Here is a 20,701-nt window from a genome sequence, read left to right as displayed (position 1 = left end):
GGTCCAGGAACGAAGGGGCAGAAGCAGGAATGGCCCTGCTTGTAATAATCCCTCCTACAACCTATTTGAAGAGTTTGTTATTCTTATTCCTGCAACTCAAAGCCCTGTGATCAGGGAGGTCCTGGTTCTCAAAGGGGAAATTCTTCTGCCAGGGAACACAGAAATAGTCTCATTAAACTTTATTTTTACAGCTTCATTGCATCATAAAGTTCACCCATTTTAAGTATGCAAGTCAATGATTTTCAATAAATTTGCTGTGTTTTACAACCATCCTTGTAATCCAGATTTAGAACCTTTCCATCACCTCAAGAAGATCCCTCAGCCCCATTTACAGTTAATCTTCATTCAACCCCCAGCCGGAGGCAAATGCCTATGTACTTTCCGTCTGTCTCTATTTGCTCTTTCTGGACATTTCATACACATTGCATCATACAGTATGTGGTCTTCGGAGGTTCCTCCATGTTGTAGCCTGCATCAGCACTTCCTCCCTTTCTCTTGATGAAGAGTATTCCATTGGATGGATAGACCACATTTCGTTTGTCAGTTCACCAGTTGACGGACATTTGAGTTATTTCTACCTTTTTTTTTTTTTTTGGCTATTAGAAATTAAGCTACCATGAACATTTACATGCAAGTTTTGTGTGAACTTATGTTTTCATTTCTCTCGAGTAGCTATTTTGGAGAGGAACAGTTGGGTCGTTTAGCAAATTTATGTTTAACTTTTTTTTGCATAGATTCAGGGGGTATTGAGTGCAGTTTTGGTCCATGGATATATTGCGCAGTGGTGAAGACTGGGCTTTTCATGTACACGTAGCCCAAATATTGAATATTGTACCCAATAGGTAAATGTTTAACTTTTAAAGAAAAAGCCAAAACACTTTCCCAAGTAGCTGTACTGTTTTACATTTCCTCCAGCCATGTATGAGAAAGCCCATTTCCACACACTCTAACTAGCATTTATTATTGTCTGCCTATTTAATTATAGCCATTCTAGTGTGTATGAAGTGGTATCTCATTGTGACTCACATTTGCATTTCCCTCATGACTAATGGTGTTGAGCATCTCTTCAAGCGCTTATTAGTCATTTGTTTATTTTTTTGGTGAAATATCTATTAAAATCCTTTCCCCATTTTTTAATTGGATGTTTGTCTTCTTGTTGAGTTATCTGTATGTTCTCGACACAAGTCCTTTATCAAATATACGATTTACAAATATTTTTCAGTCTATGGCTTGTCTTTTCATTTTCCTAATGATGTCTTTTGAATTGCAAACATTTTATTATTTTGGTGAAGACCGATTCATCAATTTTTTACTTTATACAGTATGCTTTTAATGTTGAATCTGAGAAAGCTTTGTTAACCCAAGCTTATAATGATTTTCTGCTGTGTGTTCCTCTGGAAGTTTTATAGGCCTGGTGTGGTTGCTCACGCCTGTAATCCCAGCACTTTGGTAAGCCGATGAAGGGGGATTACTTGAGCCCAGGAGTTCAAGACCAGCCTGGGCAGCATAGTGAGATCCTGTCTCTACAAAAAATTTAAAAATGGCTGGGCACAGTGGCTCACGCCTGTAATCCCAACACTTTGGGAAGCCGAGGTGGACAGATCACTTGAGGTCAGGAGTTCGAGACTAGCCTGACCAACATGGAGAAACCCCGTCTCTGCTAAAAATACAAAATTAGCCGGACGTGGTGGCCCATGCCTGTAATCCCAGCTACCCGGGAGGCTGAGGCAGGAGAATCACTTGAACTGGGGAAGCAGAGGTTGCAGTGAGCCGAGATCGTGCCATTGCACTCCAGCCTGGGCAACAAGAGCGAAACTCCACCTAAAAAAAAAAAAAAAATTAAAAAATTAGCTGGGCATAGTGGCACATACCTGTGGTCCCAGCTACTCAGGAGGCTGAGGTGGGAGGATCACTTCAGTCCAGGATGTTGAGGCTGCAGTGAGCCGTGTTCATGCCACTGTGCTCCAGCTTGGGTGACAGAGTGACACCCTGTCTCAAAAACATTAAAATTAAAAGGAAAGTTTTATAGTGTAAGCACTTATATTTAGGCCTACAGTCGTTTTGGGCGATTTCTTTTGTGAATGGTATGAAGTTTGCCTTTCTGCATGTGGATAGTCAGCTGTCCCAGCACCATTTGTTAAAAACCTAGCCTTTCCCATTGAAAGACATTGACACCTTTATCAAAACTCAATTGACCGTAAATGTAACAGCTTCTCACTGGACTCTCAGCTTTGTTTCATTTATCTACGCAGCATGCCCACTCTTACACCAGGTAACGCTGCCTCCGTTACCAAAGCTGTAAAATGCATTTTGGAAGTGGGAAATGAAAGCCCTCTTGTTTTGTTTTGTTTTTTTAAAATTGTTTTTGCTATTCTGGGTCTTTTCATTTCCATATAAATTTTAAAATCAGCTTGTCAATTTCTGTGAAAAAGCCTTCTGGGATTTTGATAGGGATTGTGTTGACTCTACAGATCAATTTGGGGAGAATTGCCATCTTAACAGTATTGATTCTTCTAATTCATGAATATGAAACGCCTCCATTTATTTAGATATTCTTTCATTTCCCTTGGCAATGTTTTATAGTTTTCAGTGTACAAATCTTACACTTCTTTTATTAAATTTATTCCTAAGGCTTTTATTCTTTGTGATGCTGTTGAATGGAGTCACTTTCTCAATTTCATTTCCAGATTAGCAATTGTTCATTGCTAATATAAAGAAATGCAGTTGATTTTTGTATATTGATCTTGTGTCCTTGCTGAGTTTCTTTATTTATTGTCATAGTATTTTTGTGAATTCCTTAGGATTTTCTCCATACAAGATCATGTCATCTAAATAAAGACAGTTTCCTTTCCAATCTGGATGTCTTTATTTATTACATCTGACTGCACTGTCTAAAACCTCCGGTGCAACATTAAATAGAAGGCGCAAGAGTGAAAATCTTTGCCTTGCAACTCCTGTTAAGGAGAAAGCATTTAGTCTGTCACCATTAAGTCTGACGTTAGGTATAGGATTTTTATAGCCTCTCTTTATCAGGTTAATAAAGTTCCCATCTATTCCAGGTTTGCTGGGAGGGTTTTTTTTTTTTTCTTTTTTAATTGTGAATACTCGCTGAATTTTGTCAAATGAGTTTTTCTCTGTCTATTGAGATGGTCTTGTGGGTTTTGCTCCTTATTGTATTAACACAGTGCATTACATGAATTGATTTTTGGATGTTAATCCAGCCTTTTATTTTTCAGACAAATTCCATTTGGTCATGATATGTAATCCTGTTTCTATAGTGGTGAATTCACTTTGATATTTCATTGAGGGTTTTTTTTCCTCTATATTCATGAGGGGATTGGTCTGTAATATTATTTTTTTGTGATGTCTTTGTCTAGCTTTGGGACCAGGGTAATACCAGCCTCAAAGAAGGACAAAAATATCCCTTTGTCCTCTATCTTTGGGAAGAGTTTGTGGAATAGTGACATTAATTCTTCTTTTTTTTAACTTCTTTTTTCATTTTTTGAGACAGAGTCTCGCTCTTTTGCCCAGGCTGGAGTGCAGTGGCGCCATCTCGGCTCACTGCAAGCTCCTCCTCGCGGGTTCAAGGAATCCTCCTGCCTCATCCTCCTGAGTAGCTGGGATTACAGGCATGCACCACCATGCCCAGCTAACTTTTGTATTTTTAGTACAGACGGGGTTTCACTATGTTGGTGAGGCTGGTCTCAAACTCCTGACCTCGTGATCTGCCCACCTTGGCCTCCCAAAGTGCTGGGATTACAGGCGTGAGCCACCACGCCTGACCTGACATTATTTCTTCTTTAAACATTTGGTAGAATTCATTAGTGAGGCTCCCTAGGCTCAGGCTTTCCTTTGTGGACAGACTTTTAAAAGTATCAATTTTTTGGCTTGTTCTAAGTATATTCAGATTTTCTACTTCTTCTAGAGTGAATTTTGGGGATTTGTGTTTTGCTAGAAGTTTATCCATTTACTCAATTGCCTAATTTGTTGGGGTAAAGTTGTCCACAGTATTCTGTTATAATTTTTTATGAATTCTATGGGGTCAGAGGTTATGTCTCTCTTTCATTACTGATTTTGGTTATCTGAGCAGTCTCCCGCTTTTCTTGATCACGTTAGCTAAAGGGTTTTTTTTTAATTTTGTTGATCTTTTCCAAAAAACATACTTTTGGTTTCTTTGGTTTTCTCTGTGGTCTATCCCTTTTCTACAAACTTGCTTTCCATTCTCATCTTTATTTCCTTCATTCTGCTTGCCTTGGATTTAGTGTGTTCTTTCTTACATAAATTGGTAAGGTGAAAGGTTAGACTGCTGATTTGAGATCCTCCTTCTTTCCTAACATAGACTGTGTATTCTCTTTTAAGCACTCCATTAGCCGAATCAAGAAATGTTGACATGTCATGTTTTTGTTCTCATTCAGTTCAAAATACTTTGGATTCCCTAAATTTCTTTCTGTTGTTGTTTTCTCATTTAATTCCGTTGTGATTAAAGCACATACTTTTTATGATTTCATCTTTTTTAATTTGCTGAGACATGTTTTGTGACCTAGACTTTGGTCCACCCTGGAGAATGTATCATGTACCCTTGGAAAGAGTGGCTGTTCTGCTGCTGCTGAGTGGAGTGTTCTATAGAGATTGGTTTGGGGAAGTTGATTGATAGGGTGGTTCAAGGCTTCTATAACCTTACTAATTTTCTGTATACCTGCCCTATTAACAAAATACCTTAGACAGGGTAATTTATAAACAATAGAAATTTGTTTCTCACAGTTTTGGAGGCTGGGAAGTCCAAGATTACGGAGCCACAGATTTGGTGTCTGTCAAGGGCCTGTTCCATAGGTGGCATCCTCTCCGGTGGGCTGGAGGATCCTCACATGGCCAAAGGGGCAGCCTCTTTTTCATAAGGTCACTAATCCCATTCCTAACAGCTCCACTCCCATGATTTAATCACCGCCTACAGGATCCACCTCTTAATATCCCATTGGCAATTAAGTTTGGGTTTTTTTTTTTTTGGTTTTTTTTTTTTTTGAGATGGAGTCTCGCTCTGTCGCCCAGGCTGGAGTGCAGCGGCGAAATCTCGGCTCACTGCAGGCTCCACCTCCCGGGTTCGCGCCATTCTCCTGCCTCAGCCTCCCGAGTAGCTGGGACTATAGGCGCCCACCACCGCACCCTGCTAATTTTTTGTATTTTTAGTAGAGACGGGGTTTCACCGTGTTAGCCAGGATGGTCTCGATCTCCTGACCTTGTGATCCACCCACCTCGGCCTCCCAAAGTGCTGGGATTACAGGCGTGAGCCAATGCACCTGGCTAGGCAATTAAGTTTTAACATGAATTTTGGACCATAGCAAAGGAGTATTGAAATCTTCTACAAGTGGAAAGTTATCTATTTCTCTTTGTATTTATATCAGTTTTTGTTTCATGTATTTTGAAACTCTTATTAGGCACATAAAGGTTTAGGATTTTTGTGTCCTCTTGACTGACTCTTTCATCATTACAAAACGTCTCCTCCTTTTTTTTTTTTTTTTTTTTTTGGTAACTTCTTTTTGTCTTAAAGGTCTATTTTCCTGATATTAATATAGCCACTCATGGATCATGAGGTCAGGAGTTCAAGACCAGCCTGATCAACATGGTGAAACCCTGTCTCTACTGAAAATACAAAAATTAGCCGGGTGTGGTGGCACATGTGTAATCCCAGCTCCTCAGGAGGCTGAGGCAGGAGAATCGCTTGAACCCAGGAGGCGGAGGTTGCAGTGAGCCGAGATCACACCACTGCACTCCAGCCTGGGCGACAGAGCGAGACTCCACCTCAAAAAAATACATATACATTTATATATAGATACATATATATAGCCACCCCAGTTCTCTTATAGTTACTGTTTTCTTGGTATGTTTTTTCTATTCTTTTACTTTCAACCTATTTTCTGAATCTAATAAAGTGTCTTTTTTTTGTAAATAGTATATAGTTGGATTCTGGTTTTTCGTACAATCTGACAATCTCTATCTTTTGATTTGAGTGCTTATATTTGATGTAATTATTGATATGGTTTAATTTACATCTGACATTTTGCTATTTGTACAATGTGACAATCTGTCTTTGGATCTGAGTGTTTATATTTGGTGTAATTATTGATATGGTTTAATTTACATCTGACATTTTGCTATTTGTTTTCTATATTTCTGATGTCTTTTGCTTCTCTCTTCCTGTTAGTGCATTCTTTTGTGTTAAATAGATATTTCACAGTGTACCATTTTAATGCCTTATTTTCACTATATTTTAAATTTTATTTTCTTAAAAGTTATTCTGAACATTACAATATGCACTTTAATTTAAAATAATCTGTATGGGATTAAAACTAACTTTATTCCAATAAGATATAGAAATTTTGCTCCAATATATCTTCCTTCTTTTCTCATTTCTTTGTGCTAATACTGTCTTATAAAATGCATCTTGATATATTACAAGCCTAACAATACAGTTTTATAATTATTGCTTTATTCAGTTATGTTTTACATCAATTAAGAGAATAAACAAGTAAAAAAACATATTTATGCTAACATTTACATTTACCTTCACAAGTGCTCTTTATTTCTTCATGGAGATTCAAGTTATCGTATGATGTGATTTTCTTTAGCCTGAAGGACTTCCTTTAGCATTTTTTGTAAGGCAGGTCTGCTAGCAAAGAATCCTTCCCGTCTGTTTATCTTGGGATGTCCTTATTTTGCCTTCAGGTTTGAAAGATAATTTTGATGGATATAAATTCTTGATTGATTGGTTTCTTCTTTCAACACTTTGAATATCCTACTGCCTTCCAGCTTCCATTGTTTCTGAAGATAAATTAGCTGTAATCTGATTGTGGTTCTCTTATACATGATGAGTCATTTTACTGTTGTTCCCTTGAAGACTTTGTCTTTGATGACATATGTTATAGTCACAGTCTTTGCCTATGGTGTGTCTAGGTGTGGATTTCTTTGAGTTTATTCTATGCTATGATCTGAAGGTTTGTGTCACAAAATTTATATGCTGAAATTCATATGCTGAAATCCTAACCCCAATGGTAGTAGGAGGTGGGCCTTTTGTAGATTAAGCTATGAGGGCAGAGCCTTTGTGAATGGGATCAGTGTCCTTATAAAATAGGCCCAAGAGAGCTTCTTCACCCCTTCTGCCATGTGAGGACACAGTGAGAAGGCACCATCTGTGAACCAGAAAGCCAGCCCTCACAAGACACTGAATCTGCTGGCACCTTGATCTTAGACTTCCCAGTCTCTGGAACTGTAAGAAATAAATTTCTGTTGTATCTAAGCCACCTAGTTGATGGAATTTTGTTAAAGCAGTCCAAACAGACTAAGACATTCCACTTGGAGTTTGTTAAGCTTATTGTATTTACATACTAATATTTTTAAGCAAATTTGGGACATTTTCAGCTATTCTTTAAAAGAAAAAAAAAGGTTTTACCCCTTTCACTTGATGTTGTCCCACAGGTCTCTGAGAAGTGCTGTTCATTTTATTCTGTTCTTTTTTCTTTCTGTTCTTTAGACTAAATGGTTTCTATTGCTTGTCTTCAAGTTTGCTGAGTCCTTCTTCCTCTAGCTCAAACCTGCTGTCGAGCACCTCTAGTAAATTTTCATTTCAGGTATTATACTTTTCAATTCCAAAGTTTCTATATAGTTCTCATTAATACTTTGTATCTTTTTGTTGACTTTCTCTGTTGGTTAGACATTGTTGTCTCATACTTTACATTATTTCTTTGTTTTCTGTTTTTTGTTTTTTTTTTTGAAATAGGGTTTTGCTGTGTTCTCCAGCCTTGTCTCAAACTCCTGGCCTCAGGTGATCCTCCCACCTCAGCCTCCTGAGGAGCTAGGATTACAGGCATGTACCACCACACCCAGCTGCTTTAATTATTTAAACATAGATTCCTTTAGACCTTTGAACATGTTTATAGTAAATTATTTTAAGTCATTGTCTACCAAGTCCAATATCTGAGCTTGCTCAGAGATAGCTTGTATGCACTGCTTCTTTTCTGTGTATGACCACATTTTTCTATTTATTTGTATGTTTCACCATGTTTTTGGAAACTAGAAGCTTTGGATAAATATTATAACAAATCTGAGTTCTGATTTGTCTCCCCTAGAGGCTATTGCTGCATTTATTTGTGTGTTTAGTGACTTGCCTGGATAAATTATTTAGAGCCGGTCTCCCCTCCAGTGTGCAAACATGGAAATCTTATTTGTTTGTTTGCTTAATTCCTGCCTTCATTTTAAACCTTTTCTATAGATTAAGCATAATCTGGGTAAGCATCCTTAATAGGCAGCCAATGATTGGTCAGAGGTTTTGCTTAAACACCTTCAGCCAGTAAGATTTCTGCCCTTTGGTGTGGTGAGGCACACACTCAGAGGGCAGGCAGTTTACAAGTGTGCCCACCTTCACTTGCTGTTTGTGCAGGGCCTCGTGGTCAGCCAGGAACAAACAGATAACTGGGCCCTCTCCACTCTCTCCTGCACATTCCTACACCTTGGGCAAGTGCACAGCATTCCAGATTCTTAGAAATGTGTCAGGTTTATCAAAGCCCCTATGGTTGTCTTATTTCCCAGCTCTTTCTTGTAAATTTTTGGCTGGTTGCTGCTTTCCCAAGTCAGTGTCACAGACTTAGGTAGCTGTGACATTGGCCTTCTTTGATTGTCTGCTATAGAGATGGCCTCTGTTTTGACAGTGTTTCTGGACATTGTGCTTTTCTATGGAGCTCCAAATTAGATCAGCCCCCTCTAGCAGCAGCAAGACTTCTGGGTTTATGGTTGCCACACCACAGAGTTCAGAGAGAGGTGGGTGGGAGCAGCCCTGTGTTGAAATGGCACAGACCCCGCCACTGTCAACAAAGGCTCAGCTGTTTTTATTAAATAAATGTCTTTCCATTTGTTATTTGTCTTTGGTTAATGTCCAGAGTTCCGAAATGGTTGTTTTTGGCAATTTTGTCCAATTTTATCATTGTTCTTATAGGGACAGGATTTGCTGTGGTCCTCCTTCCACCTTTCTCCCCATTTAACTTTAAGCTCCACTACTGCCAGTCACTTCAGGCTCCTCCTATCAAGAGACCAGTAGGCAAGGAAAGGGGTCACCATTCTGGCAGGAGAAATCAACCCTGATCATCAGAAAGAGATAGGGTTTCTATTACATTATGGAGCCAGGAAGGAACACATTTGGCACCCAGGTTATTTTCTGGGCATTTCTTGGCACAGTTTGGCCCAATTTGATCATAAGTGGGCAAGTGCCACAGTCATGACCAAAGCCAGTGCATGGTGACGAAGGTTTCAGACCCCTCAGAAATGAGGGTCTGAGTCACTCAACCCTATGAGCCGCCTAGATCATTACAGGTACTACAATGGGATGAGAAAAACCTGGAATGGGTGGTGGAGGTGGGAGACAATGAGCATCAGTCACGGCCTAAAGATCAGCTGCTGTGGTCGGGGCAGTCGGTTCATCCCAGCAATGCTCCTCTCGCAACTTGTCCCCAGGAAAAGAGGCCCATAGAATCCAGGAGGAGTCGCTCTCAGGAATTATCATATGAAATAAGGGGAGTCAAGTGGCATGAGGTGTGGACTGTAACCTGTGCTATTTGGGACTGAAGCATTAATTTCCCCAGCTGCTGGAATGGTTGGTGGCTGACAGCACTCAGCTGGGTCCACCTCTCCCTGGTGCCATGCCTTTGGCTGAAGAAAGCCTCACTGCCCACGGTCAAAGGCCCTCTCCTGTGGCAATCCATATCCAAAGATAGGTCAATATGGAGATACAAAGACTCCTCCCCAACCCCCACCCCAATGTGGGACAACTCTGAGAGGATGTCTAAAGCTCCATGGGGATTGTCTGAGACTTTGTCGCAACTGCAGAGCAATTAAACTCATCCCACCGCCCTTCTTGGTTCCTTCACCCCCACCCTCCTCGGGAGGTGTTGATCAGGAGAACATTTCTCAAAAAATCTCTTGTACATAAATTTCCACTCAGTGTATACTTCCAGGGGAACCCCACCTGCAACAATTGGTATCTCACTCTCTTGTTTCAATCATGCATAATTAAGCCCAGGCAACACAGCGATAACTCATCTCTACAAAAAATGTAAAAATTAGTCAGGCGTGGTGGCACACACTTGTTGTGCCAGCTACTTGGAGGTTGAGGCAAGAGGATCCCTTGAGGCCAGGAGTTTGAGACCAGCCCGGGCAACATAATTAGACCTCTGCCTCTACAAAAAAAAAAAATAGAAAGAAATTTTAAACATTAGCCAGGTATGGCGGCACACACCTGTAGTCCTAGCTACTCAGGAGGCTGAGACAAGATCACTTGAGCCCAGAAGTTTGAGGCTGCAGTAAGTTATGATCGTGCCACTGCGCTCTAGCCTGGACAACAGAATGAAGCCCTTTCTCAAAAAAAAAAAAAAAAAACCATAATTAAGCCCAACAATTAACATGAATGAATCCTCCTCCTCTATTTTTCTGGCAGCAGACAGGGAGAAAAGGGTGGCACACACAAAAAAGTCTAATTGACAGATGCTAAAATTGAGGGCAACTGTTTTATGAATAGGTAATTAAATCTTTTTGTATGCCAATGTCTCATCATTGTATACCAATGATGAAAAATGTTGCTTGCAGAAGAACTGCCACCTCTGGGATTTTTATAATAACTTCTGACAATTATATAGAATTTACAAGGCCTAAGCTGGAAACAACTTCAAATGAGGGACTGAGTCTGATGTGTCCGCAGTACCCACATTGGGCACTGCTCCTAGAAGAGGCTGGGACGCATTTCCTAAGTGAACGAAGGTGAAAACCCTTTCGCATGTGTCTTGTCGCACTGGTCTCTTCCAACACCCACTGCAATGGTGGGTTTGAGTCACATAGTAGTTGAGAGCCATGGCTTGGAAACTGTACAAGCCAGGACCCCATCAGCGGAGCCGAGCCACTCAGACAGAGAGGGAGAGAAAGGGATCCATTGCAGGGAGTTGACCTCACACAACTGTGGGGCCTGGCTAGGCAGTCTCTGTAAGTCTGTTGTCTTTGCATCCGAGGCTGGAGCTCGGAGAACAGAAGGCAGTGGGGAAGGCAAGAGAAATGTAAAGTGGGCAGATCGAGAGCGAGCCGGGGTCCATAGCAGAGCGGGCCCCACAAGGACAAGCACACCCGGCTCAATTCTTTTTGCCTCTAAAATTGGTATGAGTAGCCCACAGGATCCCAGGGCTTTCATCGCAGAGCGAAACACACATGCCTGGCCCAGGAGCCAGGGAAGCAGAAGGAGGATCCGGGGGTGTGGTGCAGCCATGGGCCCAGCCAGTCTCATGTCAATGAGGTGATCGGAATATCAGCAACCTCATAGGTGAGTTACACAACGGCTGTTCCTTCACCCTGCCTTCTCAGTCTCCCCGGAGTCAATACTGTGGCCCACTCTCACCAAAAATACACAGGAAAGGAAGTTCTGGGTAACATAACTCAGCCTCGCTAAGCTGATACATTACCCATACACCAAAGTCCACCTCTTGTCAACTTGACACCCAGGCCCCATCTCCTCTCCAAAGTATGAATGAGACTCACAAAGTCATCCTTCTGGATTACACAACTATCTTACAGCTACACATTACACAACAGCCCTGCCTATACCTACAAATACACTAACCTTTCCCCAGAAGAGGATAGAAAGTCCTTTTTTCCCCTTTGGACAAGGTTGATTCTTCTAGCTCACTCACACTGCCTGTTTTAAATTCTGCAGCCTAGATACTGAGATACGAAGCTAACTACTGGTTCCGCATCTTATGCTAGATGATGAGATAAGAAAAGAAAACAAAAAATACACATACATATAAACATATTCAAAATAAGGAAGAAAGACCCATGGTTATTACAGTCCTCATTTCTGCCACTGGTTACATCGTCCTAACAGGCATTGATAACTAACTCCTTCCAATGGCCATTTCATATTCCCTTTGGCTTTAGCGAGCATTCCAGCTACTCATGGTTTTTTGCTTTGTAGAGTGCCCCAAGCATTGATTCATGAAGACTTTGGGCCATTGGAGGTTCTGCCTGAATTGGGCTGGTAAAGATTTTCATTGGTTTTAATCACAGGGCAGGGGAGGAATAGAAAACACCCAAGGGTCTCCTGCAATTCATGGGTGCATTGGCAATCCAATCTCTCCTTGATCGGGATTGATCAGGATCAATCACCCCAGCCAGTACAGTGACCCCCCTTCTTCGCTTGTTGACTCAGCAGTATGAGGAGCTCAAAGTGACCGGATGGCAGTTTCAACATCCAGCTTTGCTATAGTTTGCATAGGGTTTGTTTGGCTCCATCAAGTCTCTTCTTGAAATTTGGCCCTGGGTGTTAGCCGTGGAGGCCTGGTGGGGGGGTGTTTTGCTCAGAGGAGCAGATCCCTCATGAACAGGCTCTTAGTTTCCACGGGAACTGGCGGTTGAAAAGAGCCTGGCACCCTCCTTCTTTTTTATTTTTTATTTTATTTTTCATTCTTTTGAGAGAGTGTCTTGCTCTGTTGCCCAGGCTGGGGTGCAGTGGCGTGATCACGGCTCACCTCACTGCTGCTTCAATCTCCCCAGCTCAGGCGATCCTCCTGCCTCAGCCTCCCAAGTAGCAGGAACCACAGGCACAGCTCCCATGCCTGGCTGAATTTTTTTTTTTTTTTTTTTTATAAAGACGAAGTTTCACCATGTTGCCCAGGCTGGTCTTAAAGTCCTGGGGTCAAGTGAACCTCCCACCTTGACCTCCCAAAGTGCTGGGATTATAGGCGTGAGCCACCACACCTGGCTGGCACCTTCCTTCTGCCTTACTTGCTGCTATGTGATCTCTGCATATGCTGGCTCCTCCTCACCTTCCACCAGGAGTGGAAGAACCATGAGGCCCTCATCAGATGCAGGTGCCAGCACCATGCTTCTATTTTTATTTATTTATTTTTTTTGAGGTGGAGTCTTGCTCTGTCTCCCAGGCTGGAGTGCAGTGGTGCAATCTCGGCTCACTGCAACCTCCGCCCCCCGGGTTCAAGTGATTCTCCTGCCTCTCAGCCTCCTGAGTAGCTGGGATTACAGGCACATGCCACCACGTCCAGCTAATTTTTGTATTTTTAGTAAAGGGAGGGTTTCGCCATGTTGGCCAGGCTGATCTCGAACTCCTGACCTCAGGTGATCCACCCACCTCAGCTTCCCAGAGTGTTGGGATTATAGGCTTGAGCCACCGTGCCTGGCCAGCACCATGCTTCTTGTATGGTGTGCAGAATTATGAGCCAAATAAATCTCTTGCTTTATAAATTATCCAGTCTCTCATAGTCCTCATGGGAATGCTAAATGGACTGAGACAAGCTCAAGGTAGTCATTGCTGTGTCAATGCCGAAAGGACTTGGTAGGCCCATGTGTGTACATTTTGGCAGAAGCATTGAGGGCAGGGAAGGCAAATTTCATCCAGAGTCAATATCTATTCCAGCGAGAACAAAGTGCTACCCCTTTCCATGATGAAGTGGCCCAGTGCAGTCGTCTGCCTCTAGGTGGCTGGCCGGTCCCTGGGAAGCGGACCATGGCAGGATTCAGTGCCGGTCTCTGCTGGTGGCCCATCGGGCTCTCAGCAGTGGCTGTAGATGATTGGCTTTGTGCAATGGAAGCAGACGTGGCTGAGAGTGTGCAACCTCCACTCCTTCCTGCTTTGCTCAGGAGCCTATATGACAAACCCAAGCATAGGCCAGAGAGGAGACTGCCATCCCCAAAACAGGTCATCCCATCCACCTGGTTAATAAAATCTTCCTCTGCTGAGATCACCCTTTGATGACTTTCACTGAACTTTCGCATGAGACACAAATATCTTCACACTCTATGCTGATTTGGAGAGGTCTATCCACTTACCCACTTCCTCAGACCTTCTTCTCACTGGTTTCTCAATTGTATTCCAATTCCAGTTCTCTAACCGCTTAGCCAAACCATTAGCCAGAGCCCACAAATCAATACAGACCCGTATCTCTGGCCAGCTCTCTTTTCCAACAAAATGAACAACCCAGATTCTGCGAATTGGTAGGATGTCCCCTCACCACAGGCCTTCAGGGCCATTTCAGAGCGGGGCCACCTGTTGCAGCTGTCTGCGCTGGGGTAGTATCTGTGTGTCACACAGAACCATCTATAAACCAGGATGGAAATGCCTTCCTCAGTGACCTGATCATGGGGACCTCCCCTGAGGCCATCAATACAGATTGATAGAGAGAAGGTGGCACAGCTGAGAATAGGGGCTGCAAGCTTCAGAGTATCAGAGTCACTTCTTCTTCTTTTTTTTTTTCCCCCTTTTTTGAGACAAAGTCTCACTCTGTCACCCAAGCTGGAGTGCAGTGGTGCTATCTCAGCTCACCGCAACCTCTGCCTTCCAGGTTCAAGTGATTCTCCTGCCGCAGCCTCCTGAGTAGCTGGGATTACAGGCGCCCACCACCACGCCCGGCTAATTCTTCTTTTAGTAGAGTTGGGGTTTCACCATGTTGCCCAGGCTGGTCTCGTACTCCTGACCTCAGATGATCCACCTACCTTGGCCTCCCAAAGTGCTGGGATTACAGGAGTGAGCCACCACGCAGGGCCTTGAGTTGCTTCTCACTCAACTTGCTTTTGCCTAAAGCATTTGCTCCAGCCTGAGCCTATACATTCGTTTCCATGCGACACAGGAGTACCACTGTGCACGACCAACCTTTTGGCTGTGTGGGTCTGACTGTACTTAGTCCACAGTGAGTGTCTCGGGTCACCTAGTAACTTGGCTGCCCATGGTCAAGAGCTCATTCTCAGCCGGACGCACTGGCTCATGTCTGTAATCCCAGCACTTTGGGAGGCCAAGATGGGGACATCACCTGAGGTCAGGAGTTCAAGACCAGCCTGGCCAACATGGTGAAACCTCATCCCTACTAAAAATACAAAAATTAGCCAGGCGTGGTGTTGGGAACCTGTAATCCCAGCTACTTGGAAGGCTGAGGTAGGAGAATTGCTTGAACCGGGGAGTTGGTTGCAGTGAGCTGTGATCACGCTACCGCACTCCAGCCTGGGAAACAGAGCAAGACTTTGTCTTAAAAAAAAAAAAAAAAAAAAAGAGTTCAATCTCTGTGGAAGCCCAGGAGCAAGTCAAAAGTGGTTTCTCAATGACACCCGAGCGGAGAGTGGTTCTCCACAAAGGAGGGCAGCACCTCACTCCAAAATGTGAATGGTCTGTGCTGTGATTCACCTGGGAGGGGGTGCCAAAAGCTCGGAACAACTCCCCAGGGAAGTGCCTCTGACACTGCAGACACCACTGGATCTGCTGGTTCATATGGCCCAAGAGGCAGAGCCACTGGCACGGCAGCCTGGATCTGCTGTGCAGCCTTCTCTTGTTCTGGGTCTCTCTCAAAATTGGCAGATTTTCACATCACTCAGTAAATGAGTCAGAATAGCACGCCCAAGCACAGTCATACCTCACTTAATCAAAGAGGTATGTTCTGAGAAACGCATCATTAGGCAATTGCGTTGTTGTGCAAACATCATAGAGTGTACTCACAGACACTTAAATGGTACAGCCTACTGCACACCGGAGCGAGGTGGTATGGTCTATTGCTCCTAGGCTACAGACCTGTACTGCATGTGACTGTACTGACCACTACAGGCAATTGTAACAAAATGTAAGTATCTGTGTATCTAAACATAGAAAAGGTACAGTAAAAATACAGTATAAAAAAATAAAAACTGGCCAGGCGGGGTGGCTTATGCCTGTAATCCCAGCACTTTGGGAGGCCGAGGCGGGTGGATCACCTGACGTCAGAAGTTTGAGACCAGCCTGGCCAACTTGGCGAAACCCCACCTCTATTAAAAATACAAAAATTAGCCAGGCCTGGTGGTACATGCCTGTAATCCCAGCTACTCGGGAGGCTGAGACAGGAGAATCACTTGAACCTGGGAGGTGGAGGTTGCAGTGAGCCAAGATCACGCCACTGCATTCCAGCCTGGGCAACAACAGAGCAAGACCCTGTCTCTAATTAAGTAAGTAAATAAATAAATAAATAAATAAATAAATAAATAAATTAAATTAAATTAAATAAAACCTGGTCCACCTGTCTAGAGCACTTACCATAAGTGGAGCTTGCAGCACTGGAAGTTGCTCTGGGTGAGTGAATGGGAAGGCCTAGGACATTCCTGCACACTACTGTAGACTTTATACACACTGAGCACTTAGGCCACACTAAATTTATTTTAAAATGCTTTTTTCCTTCAATAATAAATCAGCCTTAGCTTACTGTAACTCTTTAACTTTGTAAACATTTTAGTCACTTTTAACTTCTTGACTCTTTAGTACTAACACTTAGCTTGAAACACAAACATTGTATAGCTGTACAAAAATATTTCTTTCTTTATATCCTTATTCTATAAGCTTTTTTCTATTAAATTTTTTCTTACTTTTTAAACTTTTTTCTTAAAAACTAAAACCCAAACACACACATAAGCCTAGGACTACCCACGGTCGGGATCATCAGTATCACTGCCTTCCACCTCCGCAGCTTTTCCCTCTGGAAGATCCTCAGGGGCGGAAAGCATGGAGCTGCCATCTCCTGTGATAACCATGCCTTCTTCTGGATGCCTCCTGAAGGACCTGCCTGAGGATGTTTCACCGTTCACTTTGTTTTTTGTTTTTTGTTTTTTGTTTTGTTGTTGTTTTGTGTTTTTTTTTGAGATGGAATCTCGCTGTGTCACCCAGACTTGAGTGCAATGGTGTGATCTCGGCACACTGCAACCTCCACCTCCTGGGTTCAAGCGATCCTCCTGCCTCAGCCTCCCAAGTAGCTGGGACTACAGGTGCACGCCACCATGTCCAGCTAATTTTTTGTATTTTTAGTAGAGACGGGGTTTCACCGTGTTAGCCAGGCTGGTCTCGATCTCCTGACCTCATGATCTGCCCACCTTGGCCTCCCAAAGTGCTGGGATTACAGGATTGAGCCACTGTGCCTGGCCCCACTTTGTTTTTTTATAAGTAAAAGTAGTACACTCTAAACAGTTAAAAGTATAATAGAGCCGGGTGTGGTGCCTCATGCCTGTAATCCCAACACTTTGGGAGGCCAAGTTGAGAGGATCATGAGGTCAGGAGTTTGTGACCAGCTTGGCCAACATGATGAAACCCCGTCTTTACTAAAAACACAAAAAATTAGCTGGGCACAGTGGCGGTCACCTGTAATCCCAGCTACTGGAGAGGCTGAAGCAGGAGAATCGCTTGAACCTGGGAGGTGGAGGTTGCAGTGAGCCAAAATCGTGCCACTATACTCCAGCCTGGGTGACAGAGCAAGACTCAGTCTCGGGAAAAATAAATAAATAAAAATTGAAGTATAATAGAGTAAATGCATAAACCCATAACATAGTTATTTATTCTCATTATCAAGTATTTTGTACCGTCCATAGCTGCATGTGGTAGACTGATAGAACTGACGGTGCAGTAGGTTTGTTTACACAAACATCACACAAACATGCGAGTAATGCATTACAGCACCACCTCATTACAACAGCTATGATGTCACTAGGCAAGAGAACGTTTCAGCTCCATTCTAATCTTATGGGACCACCTTCATATGCACAGTCTGTGGCTGATGGAGACATCATCCTGCGATGCATGGCTATGTATATGCCGCCTCCGAAATCCAGAGAGCTGCACTGGAAGCTGTGTCTCTTTCATGCCGATAGGAGATACCAGATGAAGCAACTTTCCTTTCACCTTGGAAAGAATCTTTCAACATGCTCCAAAACTACTGGACTCCTAGAATTTTCCCTAAGCTGGGAAGTCCCCGAATTTTTGTGAGATTTATTTCCCACCCTCTGGCATGCAAGTGTCTTACCAATGCGTCCTGCTAACCAGGTCCAGTCGGCAGAATAACTTCAAAGAAATGAAGCAGTGTGATGCTCTCATAAAGGAAAGACAATCAAAGTTCCTGGGGAGTAGATTATGCCATAGAGTTGGAGAGATGGTTTGCCCCTCAGGTAGGATGGTGATGATGAGCTGCTGGCCTTACCAACAATACAACTGGGAAGCAAACTTATTTTGCTGCTCTTTACTAACAGGTATAGAGAAAAAGAGACACCCACCAACTCAACAGCTGCCTTCCCAGTGTCTGATGATGTGTTGATTTGCTCCAGCAACGGAACCACATCTGGAACAGCAGCTGCAAATTAGAATTGCCATCTGATTAAATGTATAATAATTGACTCTAATTTCTCTATGATCCATCTGTTTTCTACTCAGCCCAAATAGGTGGGTTGGATGAAGATATTACAGGAATCACCACCCTTTCATTTTTCAGGTTCCTTGATGAGGGCACTAATCTCTGCCATCCCTCCAAGAATACAGTATTACTTCCGGTGTACTATTTTCATAGGTCGAGCAGTTCTAGTAGCTTCTTCCATTTGGCCTTTCCTATCATAATAGCCCCCACTCCATGGGTTAAAGAGTCAATGTGAAGATTCTGCCAGCTGTTGAGTGTGTCTATCCTAATTTTGAATTCTAGAGCTGGGGAGACAACCACAGGGTGGGTTTAGGGACCCACCAGGCCCATGGTGAGAGAGATCGGAATAAAACTCTATTGCTCACTTCACTGATGACTTCCAAAAGCCCCTTTTCTGACTGCTGGACCACAGTGATGCTTTAGGTCTTCAGAAATCAGTGTGTTAATTCAGAGCCAGTACCTAATAATCCCTGAAAAGTCTGAAAAGATAAAAATAAAGTGCTGGCGGCACACAGTGGCTCATGCCTGTAATCCCAGCACTTTGGGAGGCTGAGGCGGGCGGATCATGAGGTCAGGAGATGGAGACCATCCTGGCTAACGCGGTGAAACCCCTTCTCTGCGGAAAATACAAAACGTTAGCCGGGCATGGTGGCGGGCGCCTGTAGTCCCAGCTTCTCGGGAGGCTGAGGCAGGAGAACGGCGTGGACCCAGGAGGAGGAGCTTGCAGTGAGCCAAGATCACACCACTGCACTCCAGCCTGGGTGACAGAACGAGACTCCGTCTCAAAAATAAATAAAATAAAATAAAAACAAAATGCTAACTGCAGTGCCTTGGCATTAAAAAAAATACTGGGGCCAGGTGCGGTGGCTCGTGGTTGTAATCCCAGCACTTTGGGAGGCCAAGGCAGGTGGATTGCTTGAGCCTGCGAGTTTGAGACCAGCTTGGACAACATAGTGAAACCCTGTCTCTACAAAAAATACAAAAATTAGCCACATGTGGTGGCATGCACCTGTAGTCCCAGCTACTGGGGAGACTGAGGTGAGGAGGATCACCTGAGCCTGGAAAGTGGAGGTTGCAGTGAGCTGTGATGGAGCCACTGTACTCCAGCCTGGGTGACAGAGCCAGATCTCATCTCAAAAAAACAAAACAAAACTGGGTATTGTTATGATTGATATTAATTGCAGCAAAGGGTCTTGATTCCATCCTTATCTTCAGCTTGGCAAAGTGACATCTTAACTCCCCTAGGCAGGGGATGGGGGCATTCGGGGTAGAGTGGGTTACTCCACAGTGAGTGGATGGATGGAAAAGGAAGTACTCACAGAAGCTCCACCCTGAAGTGGCCAAGGATGCAACCTCATTCTCCTGGGATTCTTACTGGTGACCTGCCGGAAGTGATGCGGCCTGAGATGGTCTGTTTCCCTGAAGCTCCCAGTGAAGCACGGTTGCTAATTCTAAGAAAATTTGGAATAAGGTATGTTTAAAAATCAGAAGGCAGCGTCAGGTAGTGGAGAGAAAATTGGCATGTACCTTCTAGAGGTCTGGACACTGGGCTCAGCCCTACCACTCTCTAGCCAGGTGAGCGTGAACATGCGTTTCACTTCTCTGAGCCTCAATTTCATCATCGGTAACAGTAGAAGATGATATTATTCACCCCGTAGGTTATTGAATGAACTGCCTGAGATTATGCATTTGGAGTACTTGGCACAGAGCCTGACACAGTTGTGTACGGTTGTTCTTAATGGCTCCACTGCTGCCCTATCACCCACCTTACACCAGGGTTTTGCAACCTGGGCATTACTGACATTTGGGGCCAAATAATTCTTTGTTGCAGAGACGTCCTGTGCTTTGCAGGCTGGTTAGCAGCATCCCCGGCCTCTATCCTTTGGATGCCACCCAGTTTTTACAATGAAAAATGTCTCCAAGGATGGGCGTGGTGGCTCACGCCTGTAATCCTAGCACTCTGGGAGGCTGAGGTGGGCAGATCACTTGAGGTCAGGAGTTCAAGACCAGCCTGGCCAACATGGCGAAACCCCATCTCTACTAAAAAATACAAAAATTAGCCGGGCATGATGGCGTGTGCCTGTAATCCCAGCTACTTGAAAGGCCGAGGCGGGAGAATCACTCAAACCCAGGAGGTGGAGGTTGCAGTGAGCTGAGATCATGCCACTACACTCCAGCCTGGGTGACAGAGCGAGTCTCTGACTCTGTGTCATGGAGTTTTTGACTCCATGTCAAAAAAAAAAGAAAGAAAGAAAAAAGAAAAATGTCTCCAGACATTGCCAAATGTCTCCTGGGGGGAAAAAATGTCCTCAGTTGGGAAGCTTAGGCTGGTCATTCTTTTGGTTTCAGTTTCCACATTTGTAAATAAGTAGTTGAAGCAGAGGATCTAGATGACTTCAAAAGCTATCACTCTTGCATTCCTTCATTTATCCCCTCATTCCTAGAAAACCAATATTAACTCTGTATCAGTCCTGAGACAC

At 43.5% G+C, this 20,701-nt stretch overlaps 1 annotated feature.

Annotated features, from left to right (window-relative positions):
• Window positions 6,346–7,545: an enhancer, noted in NCBI's record as "CDK7 strongly-dependent group 2 enhancer chr14:101221473-101222672 (GRCh37/hg19 assembly coordinates)". NCBI's record gives its function as "activates an origin of replication core promoter dependent on BRD2, BRD4, P300/CBP, MED14 and CDK7 cofactors, with strong dependence on CDK7, by STARR-seq in HCT116 cells {active_cell/tissue: HCT116}" and the evidence as "EXISTENCE:reporter gene assay evidence [ECO:0000049][PMID:35650434]".

The sequence above is a fragment of the Homo sapiens genome, chromosome 14, assembly GCF_000001405.40.
Source record: "Homo sapiens chromosome 14, GRCh38.p14 Primary Assembly".
Lineage (NCBI taxonomy): Eukaryota > Metazoa > Chordata > Mammalia > Primates > Hominidae > Homo > Homo sapiens.
Note: the sequence above shows the minus strand (reverse complement) of the source record. Positions and strands in the feature narration are given on the sequence as shown.